Genomic DNA, 21,834 nt, shown 5'->3' with positions numbered 1-21,834 from the left:
CACATTTACTTGAGGTGTCTGGGTAAATGAGGTGTTAGTGCATCTAAGGCAAAACCCTAGAAGGTAGTATGCTTGTCAGCCTGTGGCAACAAAGTATGAACTCCAACCCTTACTCTGCAGTGAGCTCAGGTTATCATTTTCGTATGTTCTCTTTTGATTCACGTTTAGTTTCACATTTTCTGCCCTAAGCAACCTACAACCTTGCCAAGTCATTTGACTTTCCTCATCAGTAAAATGGGGATAATGCCTATACATCAAGTTGTAGTGATTAAATAAGGCCGGAAACATTTCAGGGAAGAATGGAAGGGCTGGAGTAGAGTTCTTAACTTTTCCTTTCATCTTCAAGTCCTGCATTTTCTTTTCTTCCTCCTCCTTCTTTCTTTCTTTGTTTTGTTTGTTTGTTTGTGTGTTTGTTTTTTGAGACAGGGTCTTGCTCTGTTGCCCAGGCTGGAGTACAGTGGTGCCATCATAGCTCACTGTAACCTTGAACTCCTGGGCTCAAGCAATCCTCACATTAGCCTCACAAGTAGCTGGGACCACAGGCATGCACCACTATACCCGACTAGTTTTTTTGTTTTTTTTTGAGGCAGTGTCTTGCTCTGTTGCCCAGGCTGGAGTGCAGTAGCGCGATCTCAACTCACTGCAACCACTGCCTCCTCCTGGATTCAAGCTATTCTCCTCCCTCAGTCTCCCTAGTAACTGGGATTACAGGCACGCGTCACCACACCCAGCTAATTTTTTGTACTTTTAGTAGAGATGGGATTTCACTGTGTTGGCCAGTGAACTCCTGACCTCAAGTGATCCACCCACCTTGGGTGGTCTTGACCTCCTGACCTCAAGTGATCCACCCAACTTGGCCTCCCAAAGTGTGGGATTACAGGCATGAGCCACCTCACTTGGCACTGTCTAATTTTTCAAAACATTTTCTCGTAGAGATAGGGCCTCACTATGTTTCCCAGGCTGGTCTTAAACTCCTGACCTCAAGTGGTCCTCCTATCTCAGCCTCCCAAAGTGCCAGGATTATACGCATAAGCCACCATGCCCAGCCAAGCCCTGCATTGTCTAGATTGAGGTCTTTGTCATTGAGGTGGCAGAGTAACTGTGGGTTTCCTGTAAGAAAAAGAGTCCCAGCTCCTAGATGACATTCTGCATGGCCTTAAAATGTTACCTGACAGGCTTCAGTTTTCTCATTTGTAAAAGAACACAACTGGAAAGCAAAGGTTGTGTTAAATTGGTTTCTGAATTGCTCCTCTCTCCCACTTGGGAAAAGCGGCCCTTCTTAATAAAGAACGTTATTCTGGTGAGTCCTTCTGAGCCTATTCTAGTCCAGGGGGCTACCCGATTTTTTAAAATGTTTAAAAAGAAAAGAATGTTATTTTGTAGCTGATGTTTGGCCTTAAAATTGTATCTGTGCTAGCTGGCTTATTGGTCAGTAAATAAGAAATGGTGTAATACGCTGAGAACTTAATGGAATTGTTAATATTGCTCACAGTGTCTCTCTTAATCTGTTTTCAGATTCTCACGGCTGTGTGAGCACAGGGAAATCAAAGCACTCTAGGCTACACTCCAGAGTAGCTTGTTCTCCAACTCGGATTTGATGGGGAACAAGAGAGTGTAGTCAGGCTCTGGGGTTAAAAAGACCTTGATTCAAGTCTCAGCTCTGCCCCTTTACTTTCAGAAGTCCTTTCACCTCCTGGAGCCTCCCTTCCTCCTTCAGTTTCCCCATCTCTAAAACGAGGGTGATGATAGTATTGGCTGCATAGCATTGTTCTAAGGCTCCTCTGTGGGAAAATCCCTTGGTACAGTGCCTGGCACATGGTAAGTCAGTCCCCAACTTTGGAAAAGGGTGATGAAGTGACAGTCTTTCCCCTTTTATTGCAGAGCCCTCATCCTGCAAGTCTCTCGGAAACACCTCCCTGAGTGGCCCCTCCATCCACTGCCCCTCTGCTGCAGTATGTATCGGCATCCTCCCAGGCCTGGGTGCCTACTCTGGGAGCAGCGACTCCGAGTCCAGCTCAGACAGCGAAGGCACCATCAATGCCACCGGAAAGATTGTCTCCTCCATCTTCCGAACCAACACCTTCCTCGAGGCCCCCTAGTTTCTCCGTCCCTACACAGGGAGCTCCTCCCCAAGGGTAGATCGGACCGTTCATGCTGCCTATAGGCATTATGTCCCTCAAAAAAAAACTCCTTTGCCTGCATCCTGTGTACAACATGACATTTTTAACCAATCCAATCTAAAAATGTGCCAGAATCCACCTGTGGCCCGAATCGTGTTTGGTTCCTCTTTCTACTCCACTGCAGATGACCAAACCTGTCCCGCTGCCACTTTCCTCACTGATATTGGGAGGAGGGCAAGGCCCAGCCGAAGTTCCACTAAAAATGCCCCAGGAGAATAGGCACCGGCTGGCTTGCCAAAGGGTTTGGGTTTTATTGCTTTCTGTTTTTTCTTTTCCCGACAGCACAAAGAAGTAAGGGCAGTTATTGGACAGGTGTTATTTAAACATTCTATTGTAAATGAATGTGTTGTTTGGTTCTACTGCATTGTGGAGCATGCGGGGGAAGAGAACTGACCCAGGTAGTGAAATGGAGCCCTTCCCTGGAACTAACCAGTCCTTGATGTTGTGTGACTAAGTAAAGATGATAAACCCCATCTGCTGGGGGTGTCACTTCACACTCGGCATGCATTGTGAAAGCTTTCCATACCCTTGGCCATTCCCTCTCTCCTCTCTCTCCAACCCCATTTATGCAGGAAGGGACTGCTAACAAGAACGCTTCCATCTCAAACCTTTTCTCTGCCTGGGAAATTATTTTATGTTTGTTTTTGAAATAAAGGATTTAGTTTAAGATTCTAAATTTTAGAGAAACAAACGTAGGCCTTGTTTACTAATAGCCAGACATCAGAACTGCAGGTAGGTATGTTAATGAGATGACTTATTTCTGGCAGCTCCTGGAATCCTAATATTGTAAATGAGTGGGACACACTTGCATATTGTGACCATTCTATTGAGGCCCTTCTCTGTTTAATGCATATTATACTTGTGCTTTTAACTGTGGAATCTATTTCTAACCTAAAGGTGCTGCCCTAGTACTTTTCTTTGCTGCCTCTGCTGCTCTTTTTCCTTTCCAAACAGCAACTCTGAGGCCATGAGCAGCCAAAAACTAGAGGTACTGCTCCACCTCGTCTCATAAAGGGAAACGGGCTCATCCCTTGGATTCTGGAGGAGGGAGAGGGAGATGGTGTGGAGGCCTCGAGGACAGAGATAGACATGAGCTTTGACAACAATCTGTAGGCTCTCCTGCTTTAGAATAAGCATGTACCATTCTTTATCCATTCCCCTTATTCCTACATCAATTGTTTTTACTTTCTTGGGTGTGAGACTGAGTGAGACACACACAAAATGTGTTGACACTGTGATGCCGGCAGGCAGAGCAGCTACTGACTTTGAACATGGGCAGAGAGGCCCCTGGATCTCATCCAGCCCACTCCTTTTCCCCTTCCAGTACAGTGACACTCTGGTGCCCATTGGCAGATGGCGACTTCCCTGCACCCATAACTGATGCTTTGTGAATTCTTCCTCCTTTTCAGAACTACTCTGTGCTAATTGTTCTGCCAGTATGGGCGCATCAGCTCCATCCTGACAAACAAGACATTTAGGTAAAACTTTGTAGGCACCTTCTGCTTCTCTGCTTCATTGTTCCTGTGATAGTCCTGTTGTTATTACAGCATGTACCCAAAACAGCCTCACATTGTTACAGGAGGCAGGCCAGGACATCAAAGTCATCATCTTTATGTGGCATGACTCTTAAGAGGCCATTACTGTATCTCATGGCCTCTTGATGTGGAAAGAAGTTGACAGAGGGTTGCAGGGTTTAAAAACATCCATTAACATGAAAGCTAATAAACCTGTCAGAGAACAAGATCTTGTTTTTCCTCTACTGAATATTGTGCTTCCACCTCTCCCCATGTCTCTCAGCTAGATTGTGTTGAGAAGGTTGAGTGAGACTCTTCAGACTGTGACTTACCTTCTGGTGTCTCAGGAGAGACTGAGAATCACTGGTGATCATTGCATCATATTCCATTGTCCCCATCAGCACAGAGCTCTGGAACTGAAACAGAGCTTCTGTAGCAACCACAGCTAACAAAGCAGCGTCTGATCTGACCAACAGAGGAAGCAGCCTTGGAAAGTATCTAGTGTAGACCTTGAAGTTCAAACCCAAAGGAGAATAGAATAAACAGGGCTGGAAGGAAACACTGCTTTAAACTGTAAAGTGTAGTACTCCTGCCTTAATAATTGGGATTTTATGGTAATTACGGGACAAAAACAAAGTTTGGCATGGGTTTCTTTAAGCTCGCTTACTTTGTTCTGAGTGGTAGGATTCTTACAATTCTCCAGCCATGTGAGGGAGAAAGCTAATAGGAATCCTACTGCCACCTCTATATGGGGAGGATTATCTAGCTTGTGTCACCCACCTGGGTGGAAAATGAGTGTGATATTCAAAGCGTCTATTTTTCCATCTGTAAAAACCAGGGAAACTGATACGACTAGACCGAAAAAGGTGGCTGGCTACCTACTTGTGTATATCTTCCCTGAATCTAAGGATGCAAGAGACTGAGAGCTGGCTCCCCAAATCCAGAGGGGTGGGGCGGAGGGGGGCTTCAGCTTTTTTCAGAATCATTCTGGACTGGGAGTCAGGAGGCCCTAAGTCGGGTGACTTAGTGCCAGGCATCCTCATTTCTTTCACTCTAGCTCCTGAGTTCTTCCTGTCTGGCTTCCTCCTTCCCACCCAAGAGAGGAGCTTCATTTGCCTAAGCCCTTCCCCACTGTTTCTGCTGCTCCTCCCTGGGAACTCAGCCTAGTTCCACCATAGTGGTTATGAGTTAGGAGCCAGCTGTGACTAGCTGTGTCACTTGGGCAAGGTTAGTGTGACCTCTCTGGACCTCACTTTCCTCCTTGGTAAATAGGAATAACACTACCAATTTCCTAGGGAGATAGAGATAACCTAGATTAGGTGCTAGGTGTGCGGTATCAGACACACAGTGTTTAGTAAATGGTGGCCACCCTCAGTGCTGTTACCATCAGCCCTCCCTTTTTTCTGGGTGGCATAGCCAGAGCTTCCATTATTGGTGATTTATGCAGGTTTATCCATTCCACTGGCATTCCTCAGTTGCAGCTAGAACACTGGCATGGGTGAAGGGTCAGATCTGGTCGTCAAAGCTCCAACCACCAGCTTTTGCTGTATGCTTCCCTTTTGGCTAAATGTTAATTGCTTAGGCACACCCGGTTCCTTGGCGCGGTTGTCCTAGCCGTGGGTATATGGCTCAGCTGTCATCTTAGGCCCCTCCAGAAAAACAGCTCCATGGCAGTGCAGATTATCTGGACTTGGGTATTTTCTTGGTTTTCTGGCATGCCCAACCCACTTAGGCGTCACAGGATGGAATGCAAGTTCTGCTCAGTGGGAGGCTAGGATCTTGGCAACACTTTTGTAGTCACAGGTTGAACACAGAAACCAGTCACACATTTGTGCTTTAGTGACACTGGCAAGGGCTGACATTTTGCTCCCTTACCTGCTGGAGCAGCGGTTCGGAGAGAGAGGGAGCCTCACAGTGGTAACGGCAGAACATGGCCCCAGCATCAGAGCTTTGCAGAGGGGAGAGGCAGAAAAACAGAGGGACAGCCATTCACCTGTGCTTTATACTGCAAGCTGGTCTTCCATTACTATTTTAGTAATAGTCATGTACATCATTGCTTGTGTTGGTTTCTTTCATTCAGTGTATACTGAGAGCTTGCTATGTATATGCCAGGGTGTTAGGGGCATTTGTGCGTTATTTTTGTGGACTCTAGTGTCTTTCATTCTGGGGGAAAAAAGTCCTGTGAAGCAGCCCTTCTCTATATTTTACAGGAAATCAGAATTCCTAGGAGCTCAATGGCTTGTCTGAGGTTGCATAGCTAAGTGACAGAACCAGAATTTTCATTTGAACCAGAATTTTCATTTGAGCCTTTAAGTCTGGCTTTCTGTGGTTTCAGTGAAACTTCTAAACAAATGCCAGTGCCCAGGCCTCCGTGGAAGGGATTCAAGGGTAAAGGAGTCTTTCTGGCTGGATTTCCAAGTTCACTTTTCAGCCTGCTATCCATGTGCAGGAACCAAGTAGCAGCACCAAAGCTTGGATTTTTACAAAAGTGATTTGGAGCCAGGCGCCGTGACTCATGTCTGTAATCCTAGCACTTTGGGAGGCCGAGGCAGGTGGATCACTTGAGGTCAGGAGTTCGAGAACAGCCTGACCAACATGGTGAAATTCCATCTCTACTAAAAATACAAAAATTAGTCAGGCAAGGTGGCGTGCGCCTGTAGTTCCAACTACTTGGGAGGCTGAGGCAGGAGAATCACTTGAACCCAGGAGGCGGAGGCTAAGTGAGCTGAGATTGTGCCACTGCACTCCAGCCTGGGTGACAGAGTGAGACTCTGTCTCAAAAATAAGAAAATAAAAAGTGATTTGGTTGGCCTTGTCAAGAGTTTAGACAAACTCTTTAGACAAGAGTTTAGACAAGTTTGTGAACTGAAGCCAGCTAGGAATAAAGGGCCTGCTTGACTTACCCACCGTTAGGCAGAGAAGGGGCAGACAGCAGAGATGGCTGGATCTGCCCCCACATGAAGCCTGGATGTGGGGACCACGGCCACCACACCTGAGGAAGTGATCTGAGAGTGGGAGCATGTGGGACAGACCCCCACTGCAAGGCCAGGGCTTCGCCTTCACGTGGCCCAGTGGACGGCAGTCTCCCTAGTTTCACCAAGCTCGTAAGCCGCTCCCACGGGAAGGTGTAAGGGAGGAGTGGGATTCCACCCATGTTGCTGGCCTGGGGGCCAGTGCACTGGAGTTTTCCAAAGGACAGTCTGCAAATCAGAGCTCTGTGCAGTCCTGCGGCCCTCTTGAGAGAAGTGTCCCTAACAGATCCTTCAGCTGACTCTTGGTGTCCACAGAATCAGCAGCGGCACCAGAAGCTTAGGATGAAGGTATCCCTTACTTGCTCCCACCAGAAAAACTCTGGCTGGAGCTTACCAGGCACTAAGAGGTGGGAATCTACCTGCTGCGGTGCCCAATCCTAGCAGGCCCTAGTAAGAATTACTGGCCAGAAGAGTAGATGGGGACAAATGACTTTCCAATTTCAGTGGCACAGAGTGACAAATTCATTAGCAGCTTGAGCAGAAGAACCCCATCCAGAGCCAAGGGAAGGCATTCAATGCAGTGGAGCAAGTGTGGGCCATGAGGTAGCCAGACTTGGGTATGAGGCCTGGCTCTGCCTCTAGTAGACTTGATTCGCTTCTCTGCTTGTCTCCTCATCTCTGAAATGGTCACCGTCAGGAGCTATTGGAAGGGTTCACCAAGATAGTGCTTGCAGCCTGGGCAACATGGCGAAACTCCATGTCTACAAAAATTAGCTGGGCGTGGGGGTGCATGCCTGTGTTCCAGCTACTCGTGAGGCTGAGGTGGGAGGACTGCTTGAGCCCACAAGGTTGAGGCTGCAGTGAGCCGAGATCACACCACTGCACTCCAGCCTGGGTGGGACAGAGTGAGACCCTGTCTCAGAAAAAGTGCCTGCAAAATACTGAACACGGAGCTGGAAACAAAGTGCTTAATAGGAGGGTTAGCTGTTACTGGTTACACGGAAGCCCGTGTCCAGGGGGCTTACCTGGAGGTCCAAGCGGGAGTCAGGTGGATAAAGGAGAAAGAGGTGTTATGTGGAATAAAGGAGGGACCTGGGAGCGGGGCTGAACTTTCAGAGAGGGGTCCTCTGGCTGGTTTCATAAAACTGGGCCTGAGCCTAGAGAGGGGGATGTGGAAGAAACAGCAGGGTCAGAAGCAGCCCCATTTTGGGTCCTGAGGCCAGAGAGGCTTTCACAGACCTCTAGGTGGCCAACCCAAACACCCGGGAGACCCAAGGAGGAGCAGATGGGTGGCTGGGACTGCTGTCCAGTTGTGGGGTAGGGATATGTCAGAAACTGGTATGGGCCTGCACATTCATTCTATTCATCCATGAATATTTATTGAGTTTGTACAATGTGCCAGGTTCTGTGCCAGTTTAACAGGTTATCACTGTTAACTGGCAGTGATTTAACAGGTTATCATCTGGAATGCATGTCCCCATGCAGAAGTGACTACACCAACTTATTAGACTTGTGGGGTGGATTTTCATTTTCCATTTCCTTTCTTAGATCAGTGAGCCCGTCAGGTCCCTGCTGAGGAAGGAGCTGACGCAGGGACGTCTGAAACTCATTTGTTACCCTGAGCATATAACAAATAGAACACAGTCACAGTATTAAAAAAACAGCAGGAATTAATTAGGTGCAGGCTACGACACGTATGCACCAAGGACATGTTTCTTTCATCAGAGTCTGCAGCTAGTTACTTGGAAAAAGCCAGTTATGATTGTAAAAATTTTATTCTCAATAACAATTCCACTAAAATTATACAAAGTACATTCAATACTTAAGAATGGCAAAGGTGGGGAGAGGAGGAGAGGAAGCCAGTTTGGCCTGGAAGCATCAACAGTTGACTCCAACAAAGGAAGCCCAGCTGGGCTGGAGGAAGTTGGGGGTGGAGGTCCGGTTGTAAAAAATAAAAAAGGGGATCGGTAAAAAAAGGCCACCCACAAGGAAGCAGAGTGAGCGTGCATGTTCCTGGGGGAGGGCAGGAGGCTCAGCTGACATGCTGCTGCTGGGCACTGGAGCTCAGGCGGGCTCCGAGTTGGTGGGGGGCAGGTTTTTATGCTTGAAATACTGCACAACTTGTTGGGGCAGCTCCGCCAGCACAGCTTTGGCCAAGGTCTCTTTTGCTGCCTGCAGGGTGGAGGAGGGTGGGGTGGGGAAGAGAGAGAATAAGGATTAATGACCGGAAGTTGTGAGCGGCACTATGCCCAGAGGGCTGCTACAGCAGGTGTCCATTGAGGACAAAATTAGGGCTGCGGGCCAGGGCTGTCTGCAAGTGGCATCCCTCATCTCAGCCCAGGCCAGGCCTGAAATTCCCCCTGATCGCAGTGCCTTCCTTTAGGTTAGGTGTAAGTGTTACCTGGAGCACTTGAGATGCTTGGGAGTAACGGGTTAGGATGACTCCGTCTGCGGGAAGCACCTATGTGTCCGGCAAACATCTCCTGAGCACCTTCTTGGCGGGAATAAATGGGCCTGACAGTATGGTTCACTAGTGAACAGCCAGCCACAGGCCAGGCACATGGAGGTACTCGGTCACCGACCTGTGCATGAAGGGGTGACCGATGCCCAGGGTTTGTCCTTAGGAAGCGAATGCTCCAGAGGAAGGAGTAGAACCATCGCAGGCAACCCCAGAGGATGCTGGGAAGAGAGGTGAGGGCCACTGGGTGCAAACCAGCATGGGCAGTTCTTGCTGAGGCTGGGTTAAGCCCCCAGCCAGCAGTATGGGGGTGGCATTACAGTACAGCGGTACAGTGGAGAGACTGCTCCCCTATGGGACTCCTCATGGACCCTGCTGCTAGGGCAGTGATCAGGAGGCCAACCCCGGCCTCCTTGTGGGCAGATCTGGGATCACCTGCAAATAAAGCCAGAGCCACTTCCAGGAACAAGGCTGGGGACACCATTCTCCCAGGCAGAGGGCTTTAGGGAGAGGAGGTCAACCTAAGATGACTGGGAGGCCTTGTTTTCCGTCTACAAAATGAGGGGGCTTGCTGGGGCGTGATGATCAGGAAAACCCCTCTCTCCTCCTGCACTTTACACCACATGGATAGCCCCAGCCTCTCATCAGACCCCACTAGAGGGCAGGTCCTCCAGGAAGCCCTGCCCCAGAGCCTCAGGCTAGATGCCCACGGCTCCATGTTCCATCAGTTTGTGGAAGCAAGTGCTCACACTATCACAATGGCCACCACCGGGGCAAGGCCTGGCACGGCGCCTGGCACATGGCAGGCCCTCAGAAGAGCATAGTCAATGGAGTGGAGAAGTCTAGGATTGGGCCAGACAACCCCAAGACTCTCAAGCTTGATTATGAGCTATGGTGGCTGGGATCCTGTAACCGCCCCCTCCCAGCCCAGGCCCACACTCACGTTGCGGAACTCTCGAAAGGGAACGAACTGCACAATATCGCGGGCTGCCTCCTCCCCCGTGTGGGAGCGCAGCATGCGGCTGTCCCCATCCAGGAACTCCATGGCAGCGAAGTCCGCATTGCCCACGCCCACGATGATGATGGACATGGGCAGCTTGGAAGCCTGCACCACGGCATGCCGTGTCTCCTCCATGTCACTGATGACCCCGTCCGTGATGATGAGGAGGATGAAGTACTGCTGCAGGGAGGGGGCCAACGGGGCACTCAGCAAGGTCGAGGCTCTGGCACCCCTTCTCCCTCCCTCCTTCATCCCAAACCCTCCGAGTCCTGGAGGAAGGCAGTGCATCTTACCCAGCTGCAGCCAAGTCCCAGACAACTCACTATGCGTCCTGCTCTCAGCACCCCACCCCTGCAGGCCTCTCATGCTCTAAACTCTGACCTGGTCACAGCAGGAAGTACAAACTGCTCTCCCCTCCTGCCCTGTGTGTTATCTTAGACTCCCCCTTGGGGCCTCTGAGAGCCCTGGACTCTGGGCCTGGCCTTGCCAGTTGCTATACTGTGGGACTCTAGGCAACTGACTTGACTCGTAGTGCCTCAGTTTCTTCATCTGCAAAGTGGGAGTTGTTGCAGATAATGTGCCTGACGTGGCAGTGGCCCAGTCAGCTGCATTCCCGACAGGCCCACGGCTGGCGCAGGGGGACTCATCTGGCTGATGGGCTGCTCTGGGACCGGTCTCCCCCTCTCTGCTGCACCTGGGCATGGGCACCTGTGACCCCCTCCATTCCCTACTCAACACGACAATCTGAGACACCTTGCGGGAGCTAAAGCAGGTCGTCTGGGCCAGGGCTTCCAGGAGTGTGGGACTCTGCTGACAAATAAGTGGATTTGAGTCACATCCCAAACACAGCACTGAGCACCATCAAGTCATCAAGTCACCCCGGAAGAGGACTGGTTTGCAGTGGCCTTTCAATTCTATGAACTGCACCCAGGAGCAAGTCTTGGTTTGGTACTACTGTGTCTTTCACGTCTCTCTAACATTTGCTAAGCTTCCTTATCAACGGAAAGGGAAGGCAGGAAGCCCAGAGCTTGAGGAGACAATAGTCTCCAGCTAGGCTTTAATACCATTGTACAGCTTGTTGTGTTTATTTTTGTTACTCTCTATTTATGGCAAGTGATACTGCTTTTTTTCATTTACAATGGGATATAGAGTTTCTTTATAAATTAAATTTTAAAAATTGAATAATTAGTGTGGGAGATATATAAAATACAAACTGTGAAGTGGGGCCGGGGTGTGCCTGAGTGAAGTGCAGGAAGGCTCATTGGACCATCTGAGGGTGAGGGCCCAGGATTCCAAATTGGCCAAGAACTCTTTTTTCTTTTTTTTTTAGACTGAGTCTCGCTCCGTCGCCCACACTGGCACAACCTGGGCTCACTGCAACCTCCACCTCCTGGGTTCAAGTGATTCTCCTGCCTCAACCTCCCAAGTAGCTGGGATTACAGGCACCCACCACCATGCCCGACTAATTTTTGTATTTTCAGTAGAGTTGGGGTTTCACCACGTTGGCCAGGCTGGTCTCAAACTCCTGACCTCAGGTGATCCACCCGCCTTGGCTTCCCAAAGTGCTGGGATTACAGACGTGAGCCACCGCGCCCAGCCAAGAACTTATTTTCAGCTCAGCTCTGTCCTTAGTACCCGCTGACCCCTTTAGGGGAAGCTCAGTTTCCCCCATCCGTAACATCAACAGATCAGCTCTTGTGGTCTTCATATTCTCTGTTTGGGGCTTTAGTCTTCCAGAAGAGGAAACTGGGGCCTAGACTAGTCAAGGTCATGGAGCTAAGGAGGGTGGAACCAAGCTGGACCCCAGGTCAGCCCTTAGCCACCTTCATATCCAGCAAAGCCACTTGTTCCCTGGGGAGGTTGCAGAGGCTACAAGCTCAGCCTTCCAGGGTGCCTTGTTCCTGTCTGCCCCCCAAGTACAACAGTGGAGGGAAGGAGCAGGGTGAGCTGTGTGGAGACACGGACCCCACCACCCTCACCCCCAGCTCCAGGCAGCAGTGGTCTAGCTCCAGCACTGTGCCTTTAAGAGACCAATCCCTTGGCTGGGGATACCTGTTGCCATGGAGATGGTGGCCTGAATCCCACAGTGGAGGGCTGCTGTTGCCAGCCCCCCATCCCTGGCTGTGAGGGGCCTCAGAAGCCCATCCAGACCCTACCCTTGACAGCCCACCACTGTTCCTGGGCCCCTTCCCTTAGGCGGCCCTCCAACCCCACCTCAATACCATCAGAAACAGTCCAGGGCAACATTTCTGGGACACCTAAGCAGATAGGTAGAAAGACACTAAGAGGCCGGGCAATGAAGAAAGAAAAGAATGCTTGGTCCTGGTCTAATGGGCCACACCTTTCAGTGGGTGGGATCTGTTTCCAAGCCCGTTCCAGCTCAGGCAGGCAGTGCCCACTCCCTCCACACGTGGCCCTCCTGGCTCCCTCGTTTCTATCAGCCCCCGTGCCTAGGAGATGCGTGGGGCTCAGGCCTGGGCCTACCTCTTAGCTGGCAGCCCTCCTCCCTGGGGAGCCTGGGGGCAGACAGGGCCAGGTTCCTGCAGGACTGTGGGCACCAGTGGCCAGAGGAGGTGATACCACACAGTGACAGCACTACACAGACCCTGCCTGTCACCCTCATGCTGACTCCCATTCTAGAGGAGTGGAGCTCAGAGAGGTGATGTAACTTGTTGAGGCCTCACAGCCGGGAACTGGCACAGTCCAGATTGAACCCAGCCTGGCTGACTCCGAAGCTGGGGCTCTTTACATGATGTCCTCCTCCACCGCCCACTGGCACCAGTGGTCTGTCATTGTCTCCAACAGAGGGGCCTGGCAGGGAAAAGCTTTCCTCCCACCCAGCATGCCAGTGTCTGAGGGCCTGAATATCCAGGATAGCAGCCCAGGGTGGGGCCCAGAGCCCTGGTACTGGACTTTAACCCGCACCCCTATGTGCCAATCAACCAGCCACCATGCCCACACACAGGGGCTTGGCCTCAGCAAGTGCCCAGCTGCGCCTGAGGTCAGCAGCCCAGACCTCGGCAGTGGAAGTGCAGCTGACAAGTCCCCGGCTTCCCGCCCAGCCTGGACAAAGCCAGAGTTGTTCAGGAGCCTCAAACGTCTATTACACAGCCCTACCCCCAGGACAGATCAAAGGGGAAGGGGCTGTAGATGGAGAGAACGGAGGGTGGAATCGGGTGCAAGGGGTTGGAAGAGGCTCTGCAGGCTCTGTTGTCCCTGCAGGTGGTCCTGGTTCACCCTGTCCCCAGCATTCCCACCTCCAGAAACAGCCCATCACTGTCAGATTGAATCCAAAAACCCAACTCCCAACAAGGATGAAGCAACTCTTGCCTTTACTCCGAGGTTCTTCAGGTTTCTAGGGCTGTAAACAACTGCTTCCCCTAATGCATTTAACGTTTGATTTGATTTATAAGAAATTGACTTGACCACAACAGTTCCAGGCAGAGTCTAGGGAAGCTGCACTTACTCCCTAGCTCATTTCAGGGAAGTTGGCAGCTGAGGACCCTGCGAGGGGAGCGGGTGGAATTTCCAGGGAGCTGGCTGGGTGCTTCCCAGCTCCCCCTCCACTGGGACACCAGACACCTGGGTGACCAACCAGGAATGGGCCATGAATAGCAAGGCCCAGGTCTCAGGGGCCAAGGCAGAGGGAAAGATGAAGGCCTGAGATAGGAGTCCCCCCAAGGCTCACTCAAACCTGCATAAGACCTTCCAGTGGCTCCCCACCGCCCTCCAGAGAAAACCCAGGTTCCTCAATGGCTTCCGAGGCCCCGCAGGAGCTGGCCTACCTTTCAGCCTCACCTCACCCCACCTCCTCCTCTTTCAACACATTCCTTCCTTCCGATACACCCACACACCAAACCTCCAGGCCTCGGCACGTGCCGTTCCCTCCGCCTGAGACACTCCACGCACACACATCCTTTATGAGGCTAACTCAAGCATCCTCCAAGTTTCAGCTCACATGTCACTTTCCCAAAAAGCCTTTCCTGAGCCCTCCATCTGGGTCGGATGCCACCTCTGTGAGCCCGTGCTTCCATCGCCTCAGGCTTAGTCTCCCTGCCTCCTGCTCCTGGCCTAGGGCTCCTCACTAGACTGCAGGCTCTGGGAGGGCAGAGGCCCTGTGTCACTCATCATGGTCTCCCCAGTGCTACACAGAAGTTGGTTGGTAAAGATGTGTTGAGTGAATGAATGGGAGAGTGCAGCCCTGCCTAGAGAGAGGCTTCCACCACCTGCTCTCAATTTCCTGTACGTGGGTGTGCATCGGTGCACATATGTCTGGGGATGGGGAGGGTGAAGCCACACCAAATATTCTTCCCCAAACTAAAAAACGGCTGACAAAAGCATCAGGGGATAATTCATAAATGACTTCCTTTTGCTTTGGGACTAATTGTGCTTGGCATCACTGAATGCTAGCTCAAGAGGTGTCCCCAAAAGATTCGGCCAGCAGGGAAGCACTTTATGTGTGCCAGGCACTATGCTGAGCAATTTCTATGCCTATCTAGTTCTAGAAGGCAGGGACTGTTTCCATTATCCTCGTCGCACAGATGAGGAAACAAGTTCACAGAGTTTAAGCTACCTGCTCTCGGTCCCACGAAGTCAGGAAGTGGGGGAGCTGGGATTTGAACCTCCCAGAGCTTGAGGCTGAACCACCAGGCAGCCCCACCTCCCCTCCACTGGTGTACCCTGAGGCCAAGGGGATAAGGTAAGGCAGGAGGTAGAGAATGGCCTTATCTGTTCTTGGACATCAGAGTGGGAGAGCCTGATAAGAGGCCCCTTGGCCCCACTCCTGCAGGTTAGAGATGCTCAGACATCCCCTGAGGTCACACAGCCTGGGTGGGTGACAGAGCTTTTCCAGCAGAAAGGAGCCAGGAGGTGGCTGCCTCCCCCAGGCCGGGAGGACCAAGTCGCAGCAAAAGTGGCTGGGATGTCCAGAGGACTAGCACCAGGTGCTTGGGCCTCAAGTCCTTCTGCTTCTTCCCTCTGGGGAGCTCTCCGCAGCTGCTCCCCAGAACACACAAATGCCCTTCCTGGCCTTTCCTGGGGCCCAAACCCCCTCAGACCTGGGTCCAGCAGACACAGACCCACCTCTCCCCAGGACCCTGGTTCCTGCCCAGTCCTGCCCCAGCTCTGCAGGTGCAGCTGTGAAAGGGCCCTGGCGCTAACACTGGGCTGCACGCCCGCTCCCTGCCCCACATTTTTCCCCTTAAACAAACATGCAAGACTTTCTTTTTCTATCCCTTTGAAAGCCTGCTCAGGGTGGACAAGACTGGGTGGGACAATGGCCTGGCACCCGAACAGGAGGGAGTGCAAGGTGAAGCCTGCCTCTTGCTGTGCCCTCTCTAGCCAGTTCTAGCCCAGCAAACCCAGGAATTAAAAAAAAAAAAAAAAAAAAAAAAAAATCCCGGCCGGGTGCCGTGGCTCAGGTCTGTAATCCCAGCACTTTGGGAGGCTGAGGTGGGCAGATCAGTTGAGGTCACAAGTTCAAGACCAGTGCGGCCAACATGGTGAAACTCTGTCTCTACTAAAAATACAAAAATTAGCCCGGCGTGGTGGCAGGTGCTTGTAATCCCAGCTACTCAGGAGGTTGAGTCAGGAGAATTGCTTGAACCCAGGAGGTGAAGATTGCAGTGAGCTGAGACTGTGCCACTGCACTTCAGCCTGGGCAACAGAATGAGACTTTGTCTCAAAAAAAAAATATCCCTCCCAGGCCTTTCCCAGTTACTGCCCATTAAGCCTGCACCCAGGTCCTCACAGCACACTGGGGGTTTACTACGCCCATTTCATAAGAGGAAATGGGTGTGGGTGCAGTGGCTCACACCTGTAATCCCAGCACTTTGGGAGGCTGAGGCGGGCGGATCACCTGAGGACAGGGGTTTGAGACAGGCCTGGCCAACATGGTGGAACCCTATCTCTACTAAAAATACAAAAAATTAACCAGGCGTGGTGGTGGGCACCTGTAATCCCAGCTACTTGGGATGCTGAGACAGGAGAATCGCTTGAACCCAGGAGGCGGAGGTTGCAGTGAGCCAAGATTGCACCATTGCACTCCAGCCTGGGCAACAAGAGTGAAACTCTGTCTCAAAAAACAAAAAGAGGAAATGGGTTTAGAGCAGGAAACATTCCATTCCATAAGAAGAAACATGCCCCAGGCTCCGGGTTGCCAGGGTCAGGGCCGGGAAGCTCCTTCTGGCACTCTGAGCTCCTTCTGGCCGGGTGCTGCCTCCACGCCCTGCGCTTCCTGTTCCCTCTACCCCGGCCACTCTTCCCTGAGCGCTTTGCTGGCCTGTCCTTCTCCGTCCCTCAGGTCTTTTTGGGTGCCATGTGCTGAGTGATCTTATTTAATCCTAATACTACCTCCTCCTGATTGATCCTATTAGTTTTCCCACTGTACAAATGAGGAAACTAAGGTGACGTGACTTGCCCAAGTCACACAGTGAGGAAGGGACAGCGGCAGGATTCAAACCCTGGCACCCGCCACTCCAGGGTACCCATTTTTCCCACAGATTCTCTACTGCCTCCTGAACCATCAGAAGAGGCTCTGCCACTCCCCACTCCTATTGAAACCGCCTTTGCAAAATTATAACTGAGGAAATTATGACAGCGAAAGAAATCAGACCTAACTGACTCCATCTTGCTTCTAACCCTTCAACTGTCCTTGTTCATTCCTGGGTGTAGGCCAAACTAACTTTGGGAAGGGATTCAGTTCACGGTTTGACTCTGAAACAAACTGATAACAGCCCATTCCCAAAAAGACCCTCTTCTTGCCTGGGGTCCAGTATGTCTTTGCAGGACTAACAAATCAGCTACAGATTGGAAATTACAGTTTAGGAGTCATGCAGCCTCTGGCTCCAAGAGTCTGAACCTCCCCAAATTGGGGATGTCACTACTGTGAAACCTAAGATCAGTGCTTGAGATATTTTGCAGACCCTGCACTCCATGGATCAGCTGTCACCACCCAGACTGGTAATCTGGCTCAGTCAGTTCTGCCATTGCACCCAGGAACAGAAGACAGCAAGAAAAACTCACTTCAGACAGCAAGAAAAACTCACTTCGACCCCCTATGATTCCATCTCCAGCCTGACCAATCAGCACTCCCCACTTTCCAAGCTTCTACTCGCCAAATTATCTTTAAAAACTCTGATCCCCAAATGCTCGGGGAGACTGATTTGAGAAATAATAAAAGTCCGGTTTCCTGCACAACCGGCTCTCTGTGAATTACTCTTTCTCCATTGCAGTTCCCCTGTCTTGATAAATCATTCTTTCTAGGCAGCAGGCAAGGTGAACCCACTGGGCAGTTGCACTATCTTTCCCACCACCTCCCGGAAGTCAACTGCCACCTCCCTGGTGACCAGGTGCCTCCCTCCCTTGGCTGGTCCCAATGGTCCCCTTAGGCATGGGACCAGGTCCCTTTCCCTGGGGGAGGAGGCTCTGACTGAGCTTGTACAACTGACATCCCTCAGCCAGTGCTGACTTCATCCATTCACAGAGCACGATGAGCCTGCACAGCCCAGGCACTGGACCAGGCACGGAGAGAAGGATGTGAACTAGACATTGCCGACCATCATCAGGGTCAGCCAGGAACAGGCAGAGAAGGCAAGAGATCTGCTTCATATAGTGGTCAGGGAAGGCTGCTTGGGGGAGGAGGCCCTGAGGGAGGGCCTTGCAGAGTCCAGGAAGGACCTGCGGGGGAACAGCTAGGAGTGCTCGAGGAACACACGGGGGGTTAGGTGGCAGAATCATCCTAAGAGAAGGAAAGGGCTGTGCAGTCAGTGATCGGGTCGGTAAGGAAGGCAGAGGCTGGCCTCAGGGGATCCAATCTGATGGCGAAGGGTTTTTGGCAGGGCAGCGGCTGGATCTGACCCTCCAGTGGGGGAAACAAATGGTAGCTTGTGGACTGGTGGTGTGAGGAGTGGTGAAGGCAGCTGCAGGGTCCACTGAGAGACCTGTGGCCATGGGGAAGTGGGTGAATTTGGGATATTTTAGAGTCTAGTGAAATGAACACTCTAGAAGTGACTTCAGCAACCCTCTTCTTTCAATGGAGGTGGAAGATGAGAAAGGGGTGGGGGCTGGCCGAGGTCTCCCAGGAGGTAGTGGCCAGAAAGGAATTGGAGTCAAGTCTCCTCAACCCAGACCAGCATCTGGGCTGGGTGCCTGATTCCCCGTCACGGCGCTGGAGCGTGAGGAGCAGGGCTGAGTCAGGGGCTGAGAAGTCCTATGCATAGGGCATAGGTCAGTCAGGTCCCCAAGGTCAGGAGAAGGCAGAAGGGACATCAGATAACTGCCCTTAGGGCAGGGGGAGAAGACCTCTCAACTCATACTGCAGAGAGAGGCAAGGGCAGGTCATGGTGGAAATGGGGAGGTGGGCAAGGTGACCTTTGGTGACCCCACCACTGGCATCAGACCCTGCCAGTAGGGCCTGCCTGGGAGCCAGCCTGCAGCTGGGGGCGGGAGAAGGGAAGGGAGACCACGGTTGCAGATGCCTGGGATGGCTGCTTACCATATATTCCAGATGCCACGCAGCTACTTTGGCAGCCTCAGCCGGGCCAGTGAGGCTCTAGGCTTGTTGCTGAGTGTAGGGCCAGGGCCAGACAGTTCAGCAGCCCTCAGTGTAAGGCAGGGGCAGCTCTGATTGGAACTAGGTGGCTCAGAAGGGTCAGCGTTAGGGCCTCAGGGATCACTGCCTCCAGTTTTCCATCTTGTTACTCTTGTGGGAATAACCAGTACCTCGCCCTGGGGAGACATCTCCCGTTGATCACAGCCCTGCTTCCTGCTCAGCACGAATGGATTTGCTTTCTCCAGTCTGTGCTCCAGGAAGCCAGGACCAATCAAGTTGAGCTTGACTCAACTTTTACAATACGTGAAGGTAAAGCAAGGCCCAGAGGTGTCCACTAGGATTTAAAGCAAAGAGAAGGCAGAATATCCTGCCCCCCAGCCCAGAGGACGTGCGTGTTTCCTGGCATGACTGGCTTGCAGCTGCCTACTCACCGTGGCCGTCCGCTGTTGTGTGGCCTGGGCCGCAAACCGGGCCACGTGGTTGACGATGGGGGAGAAATTGGTAGGACCGTAGAAGCGGATGTGGGGCAGGCAAGCTGAGTACGCCTGGGCAATACCATCCACACCTGCCTCGGGAGAAGAGTCTGGATCAGCCAGGTCTCCCTGACCCCATACCCACTCTCATCTCACTGCTGATGAAACATCTATTTCATGCTTACCCAAAATGTCCCTGCCATGGCTAGCATAGGCCTTGTGAGACAGACTGGAAGCTGCCAGAGGGAAGGGCCAGCATGGTAAAAAGCCAAGAGCCCTGAATGTGAAGTCAGACAGGCCTGTAGAGTTTGAATCCTGCCTTTTCTTTGAGAGGAGTCTTGCTCTGTCACCCAGGCTGGAGTGCAGTGACAGGATCTCGGCTCAGTGCAACCTCCACCCCCCAGGTTCAAGCAATTCTCCTGCCTCGGCCTCCCGAGTAGCTGGGACTACAGGCATGTGCCACCACACCTGGCTAATTTTTGTATTTTTAGTAGAGGCAGGGTTTCGCCATGTTGCCCAGGCTGGTCTCAAACTCCTGACCTCAGGTTATCTGCCCACTTTGGCCTCCCAAAGTGCTGGGATTACAGGCATGAGTCACCGTGTCCAGCCTAAATCCTGCCTTTCTTAGCTGTGGGACCTGGGGCAAGTAGTTTAATCTTTCTGAGGCTACGTCTTTGTCTGTCAATGGGACTGATAATCTACACTCTGGCAGTTGGCAGGAGGGGGGTCTCTCAGGCCTTTCCAGAGAAGGGGCTTGGCGAAGCTTGCAGTGATGCTTTGAGACCATGGGAAGCCATCTGGAGGTCCATTCTGGACATGCTATGGCTTCTGTTCGTGGTTGGGGGATCAAGGCGTTCGCACAGTGCCTGTACAGAGTAGGCGCTCTGTAAATAGCTGCTGTTATGAGCACACTGCCCTGTAGCCCTGCCCAGAAGGCCTGGCCAGGGATGAAGCTGATTGACCAAAATGTCTCTGGAGATCTACCCCAAATCAGACAGCCTGGCCCAGCTTTGGGGATCCCCAGGGAAGGTAGATGCTATGTTGAAGCCAAGTCCTAGGCGGAAAGGTCTCATGATGATAGAAACAGCCCTCTTCCATACCCACCTGCATCCCCTCTCCTCCACTCAGAGTTTTCTTCCTCCCTTCCTCCATCCCTCCCTTCCTTCTTTCATCTTCCTTTTTCTTTCTTTCTTCCTTTCTTCCTCCCTCCCTCCCCTCCTCCCTCCCTTCCTCCTTTCCTTCCTTCCTTCCTCCTTCCCTCCCTCCTTCTCCCTTCCCCTTCCCCTTCCCTTCCTTTCCTTTCCTTTCTCTCTGTCTCTCTCTTTCCTTTCTTTCTCTTTTCTCCTTCCTTTTTTTTTTTTTTTTTTGAGACAGAGTCTCACTCTGTTACCCAGGCTGGAGTGCAGTGACATGATCTCAGCTCACTGCAACCTCTGCCACCTGGGTTCAAGCGATTCTCCCGCCTCAGCTTCCTGAGTAGCTGGGATTACAGGTGCGCACCACCACGCCTGGCTAATTTTTGTAGTTTTAGTACAGACGGGGTTTCACAATCTTGGCCAGGCTGGTCTTGAACTCCTGACCTCTGATCTACCCACCTTGGCCTTCCGAAGTGCTGGGATTAAAGGTGTGACCCTCCCTTCCCCTCCCCATCTCTCTTTCTTTCCTCCCACCTCAGCTTCCTGAGTAGCTGGGACCACAGGCATATGCCACCATGCCTGGGTAATTTTTTTAATTTGTAGAAATGGGGTCTCCCTCTATTGCCCAGGCTGGTCTTGAACTCCTAGGCTCAAGTGCTCCTCTTGCCTCAGCTTCCCAAAGTGCTGGGATTACAGGCATGAGCCACAGCATCCGGCCTCTAATAGTTTCTTAACTGTCCCTAGGAGGCTCAGAAATCCTCTTAGGCCCAGGGGTGGGGATGAACACAGACACCATACTCACTTCCCAGCCCCTGCCTCCCCCTGATCCCCCGCCAAGTACTCCCAGAGCAGGGCTGGCCTTCCCAGCAAGGGGGCGGGTGGGAAGGAGGTGAAAGCAGGTGTGTCTGGTGCCACCCTCACCTCCTCCTGGTTTACACAGGACTTCCTGTCAGTGGCTTCCTGTAATTCTCACTGAACCACCCAGTAAAGTGAGAAGAGCAGCTGTCATAGTTATCCTGGAGCAGGTAAGGAGGCAAAGGCCCAGGAGGTACAGTGACCTTTCCAAGGTCCCACAGCTAGGAAGGGCAGCAGCTGGCCTTGAATCCAGGACTATCTGACTCCAAACTGCAGCTCTTCCCCCTCTGTCACTCTGAGCAACAGTAAGGGGGAGGGGAAAGGAGAAAGAAATGAAAACCTGTCCTCTGCCCTCCCTCCACCCAGGGAGCTGGCCAGGCCCGTAGCAAACACAGGGCAGCTGCAGGTGGGTCTGACACTCACCTGAGCAGAAGGGGTTGGTGGGGTTGAAGTTGATGGCAAACTCATGGGAGACCTGAAACGCAGAGAAAACGCTGAGCTGCAGCCTCCCGCCCCCAAACCCAGACCCAGGCCACCACCCACTGCCAGGCCAAGGCTCCCTTTGAGAGCACCGGCTCATAACCCCCACCCCTACCCTCCTCTAGGCCACTGATACCCCCCACATCTGCTTTTCACCTCCACTGCTGGGTGTGACCCACAGAGAGGCCCAACCACCCTCTCCTCATAGTGGAGGA

General features: G+C 52.0%; 2 protein-coding genes across 44 annotated transcripts in view, besides 6 other annotated features; one reads left to right on the top strand and one right to left on the bottom strand.

Moving 5' to 3' along the window:
* Positions 1-3,923, top strand: part of PSME3IP1 (proteasome activator subunit 3 interacting protein 1) — a 33,651-nt gene extending 29,728 nt beyond the window's left edge. For all 43 annotated transcript variants that reach the window (NM_001354078.1, NM_001354082.1, XM_047434681.1 and 40 more), the window contains one exon: positions 1,882-3,923. In NM_001354078.1, the coding sequence (NP_001341007.1) occupies positions 1,882-2,099 (218 nt within the window). In that variant the 3' untranslated portion in view covers positions 2,100-3,923. The remainder of the gene's footprint in view (positions 1-1,881) is intronic.
* Positions 5,667-6,456: an enhancer, noted in NCBI's record as "H3K27ac-H3K4me1 hESC enhancer chr16:57183845-57184634 (GRCh37/hg19 assembly coordinates)". NCBI's record gives its function as "activates a minimal SCP1, AML or CMV promoter by ChIP-STARR-seq in primed H9 embryonic stem cells {active_cell/tissue: H9 hESC(primed)}" and the evidence as "EXISTENCE:reporter gene assay evidence [ECO:0000049][PMID:30033119]".
* CPNE2 (copine 2) overlaps positions 8,020-21,834 on the bottom strand; it is a 55,787-nt gene continuing 41,972 nt past the window's right edge. The window contains exons 13-16 of the mRNA NM_152727.6: positions 21,563-21,614; positions 19,107-19,240; positions 10,068-10,304; positions 8,020-8,838 (exon numbers count right to left, since the gene is read on the bottom strand). Coding sequence (NP_689940.3) covers positions 8,731-8,838; positions 10,068-10,304; positions 19,107-19,240; positions 21,563-21,614 — 531 coding nt within the window. The 3' untranslated portion in view covers positions 8,020-8,730. The remainder of the gene's footprint in view (positions 8,839-10,067; positions 10,305-19,106; positions 19,241-21,562; positions 21,615-21,834) is intronic.
* Positions 8,398-8,692: a silencer, noted in NCBI's record as "tiled region #6435; HepG2 Repressive non-DNase unmatched - State 23:Low, and K562 Repressive non-DNase unmatched - State 18:Pol2". NCBI's record gives its function as "represses a minimal TATA promoter and a strong SV40 promoter by Sharpr-MPRA in HepG2 and K562 cells {active_cell/tissue: HepG2 | K562}" and the evidence as "EXISTENCE:reporter gene assay evidence [ECO:0000049][PMID:27701403]".
* Positions 10,438-10,732: an enhancer, noted in NCBI's record as "tiled region #3054; HepG2 Activating DNase matched - State 8:EnhW, and K562 Activating non-DNase unmatched - State 5:Enh". NCBI's record gives its function as "activates a minimal TATA promoter and a strong SV40 promoter by Sharpr-MPRA in HepG2 and K562 cells {active_cell/tissue: HepG2 | K562}" and the evidence as "EXISTENCE:reporter gene assay evidence [ECO:0000049][PMID:27701403]".
* Positions 10,524-10,729: a silencer, noted in NCBI's record as "fragment chr16:57179572-57179777 (GRCh37/hg19 assembly coordinates)". NCBI's record gives its function as "represses an EF-1alpha promoter that drives an FKBP-Casp9 reporter gene in an ReSE screen in K562 erythroleukemia cells {active_cell/tissue: K562}" and the evidence as "EXISTENCE:reporter gene assay evidence [ECO:0000049][PMID:32094911]".
* Positions 14,279-14,458: a silencer, noted in NCBI's record as "silent region_7523". NCBI's record gives its function as "represses an Ori minimal core promoter by ATAC-STARR-seq in GM12878 lymphoblastoid cells {active_cell/tissue: GM12878}" and the evidence as "EXISTENCE:reporter gene assay evidence [ECO:0000049][PMID:35858748]".
* Positions 21,107-21,156: an enhancer, noted in NCBI's record as "active region_10883". NCBI's record gives its function as "activates an Ori minimal core promoter by ATAC-STARR-seq in GM12878 lymphoblastoid cells {active_cell/tissue: GM12878}" and the evidence as "EXISTENCE:reporter gene assay evidence [ECO:0000049][PMID:35858748]".

The sequence above is a fragment of the Homo sapiens genome, chromosome 16 (assembly GCF_000001405.40).
Source record: "Homo sapiens chromosome 16, GRCh38.p14 Primary Assembly".
Lineage (NCBI taxonomy): Eukaryota > Metazoa > Chordata > Mammalia > Primates > Hominidae > Homo > Homo sapiens.
This window is presented reverse-complemented; position numbering and strand designations above follow the sequence as displayed.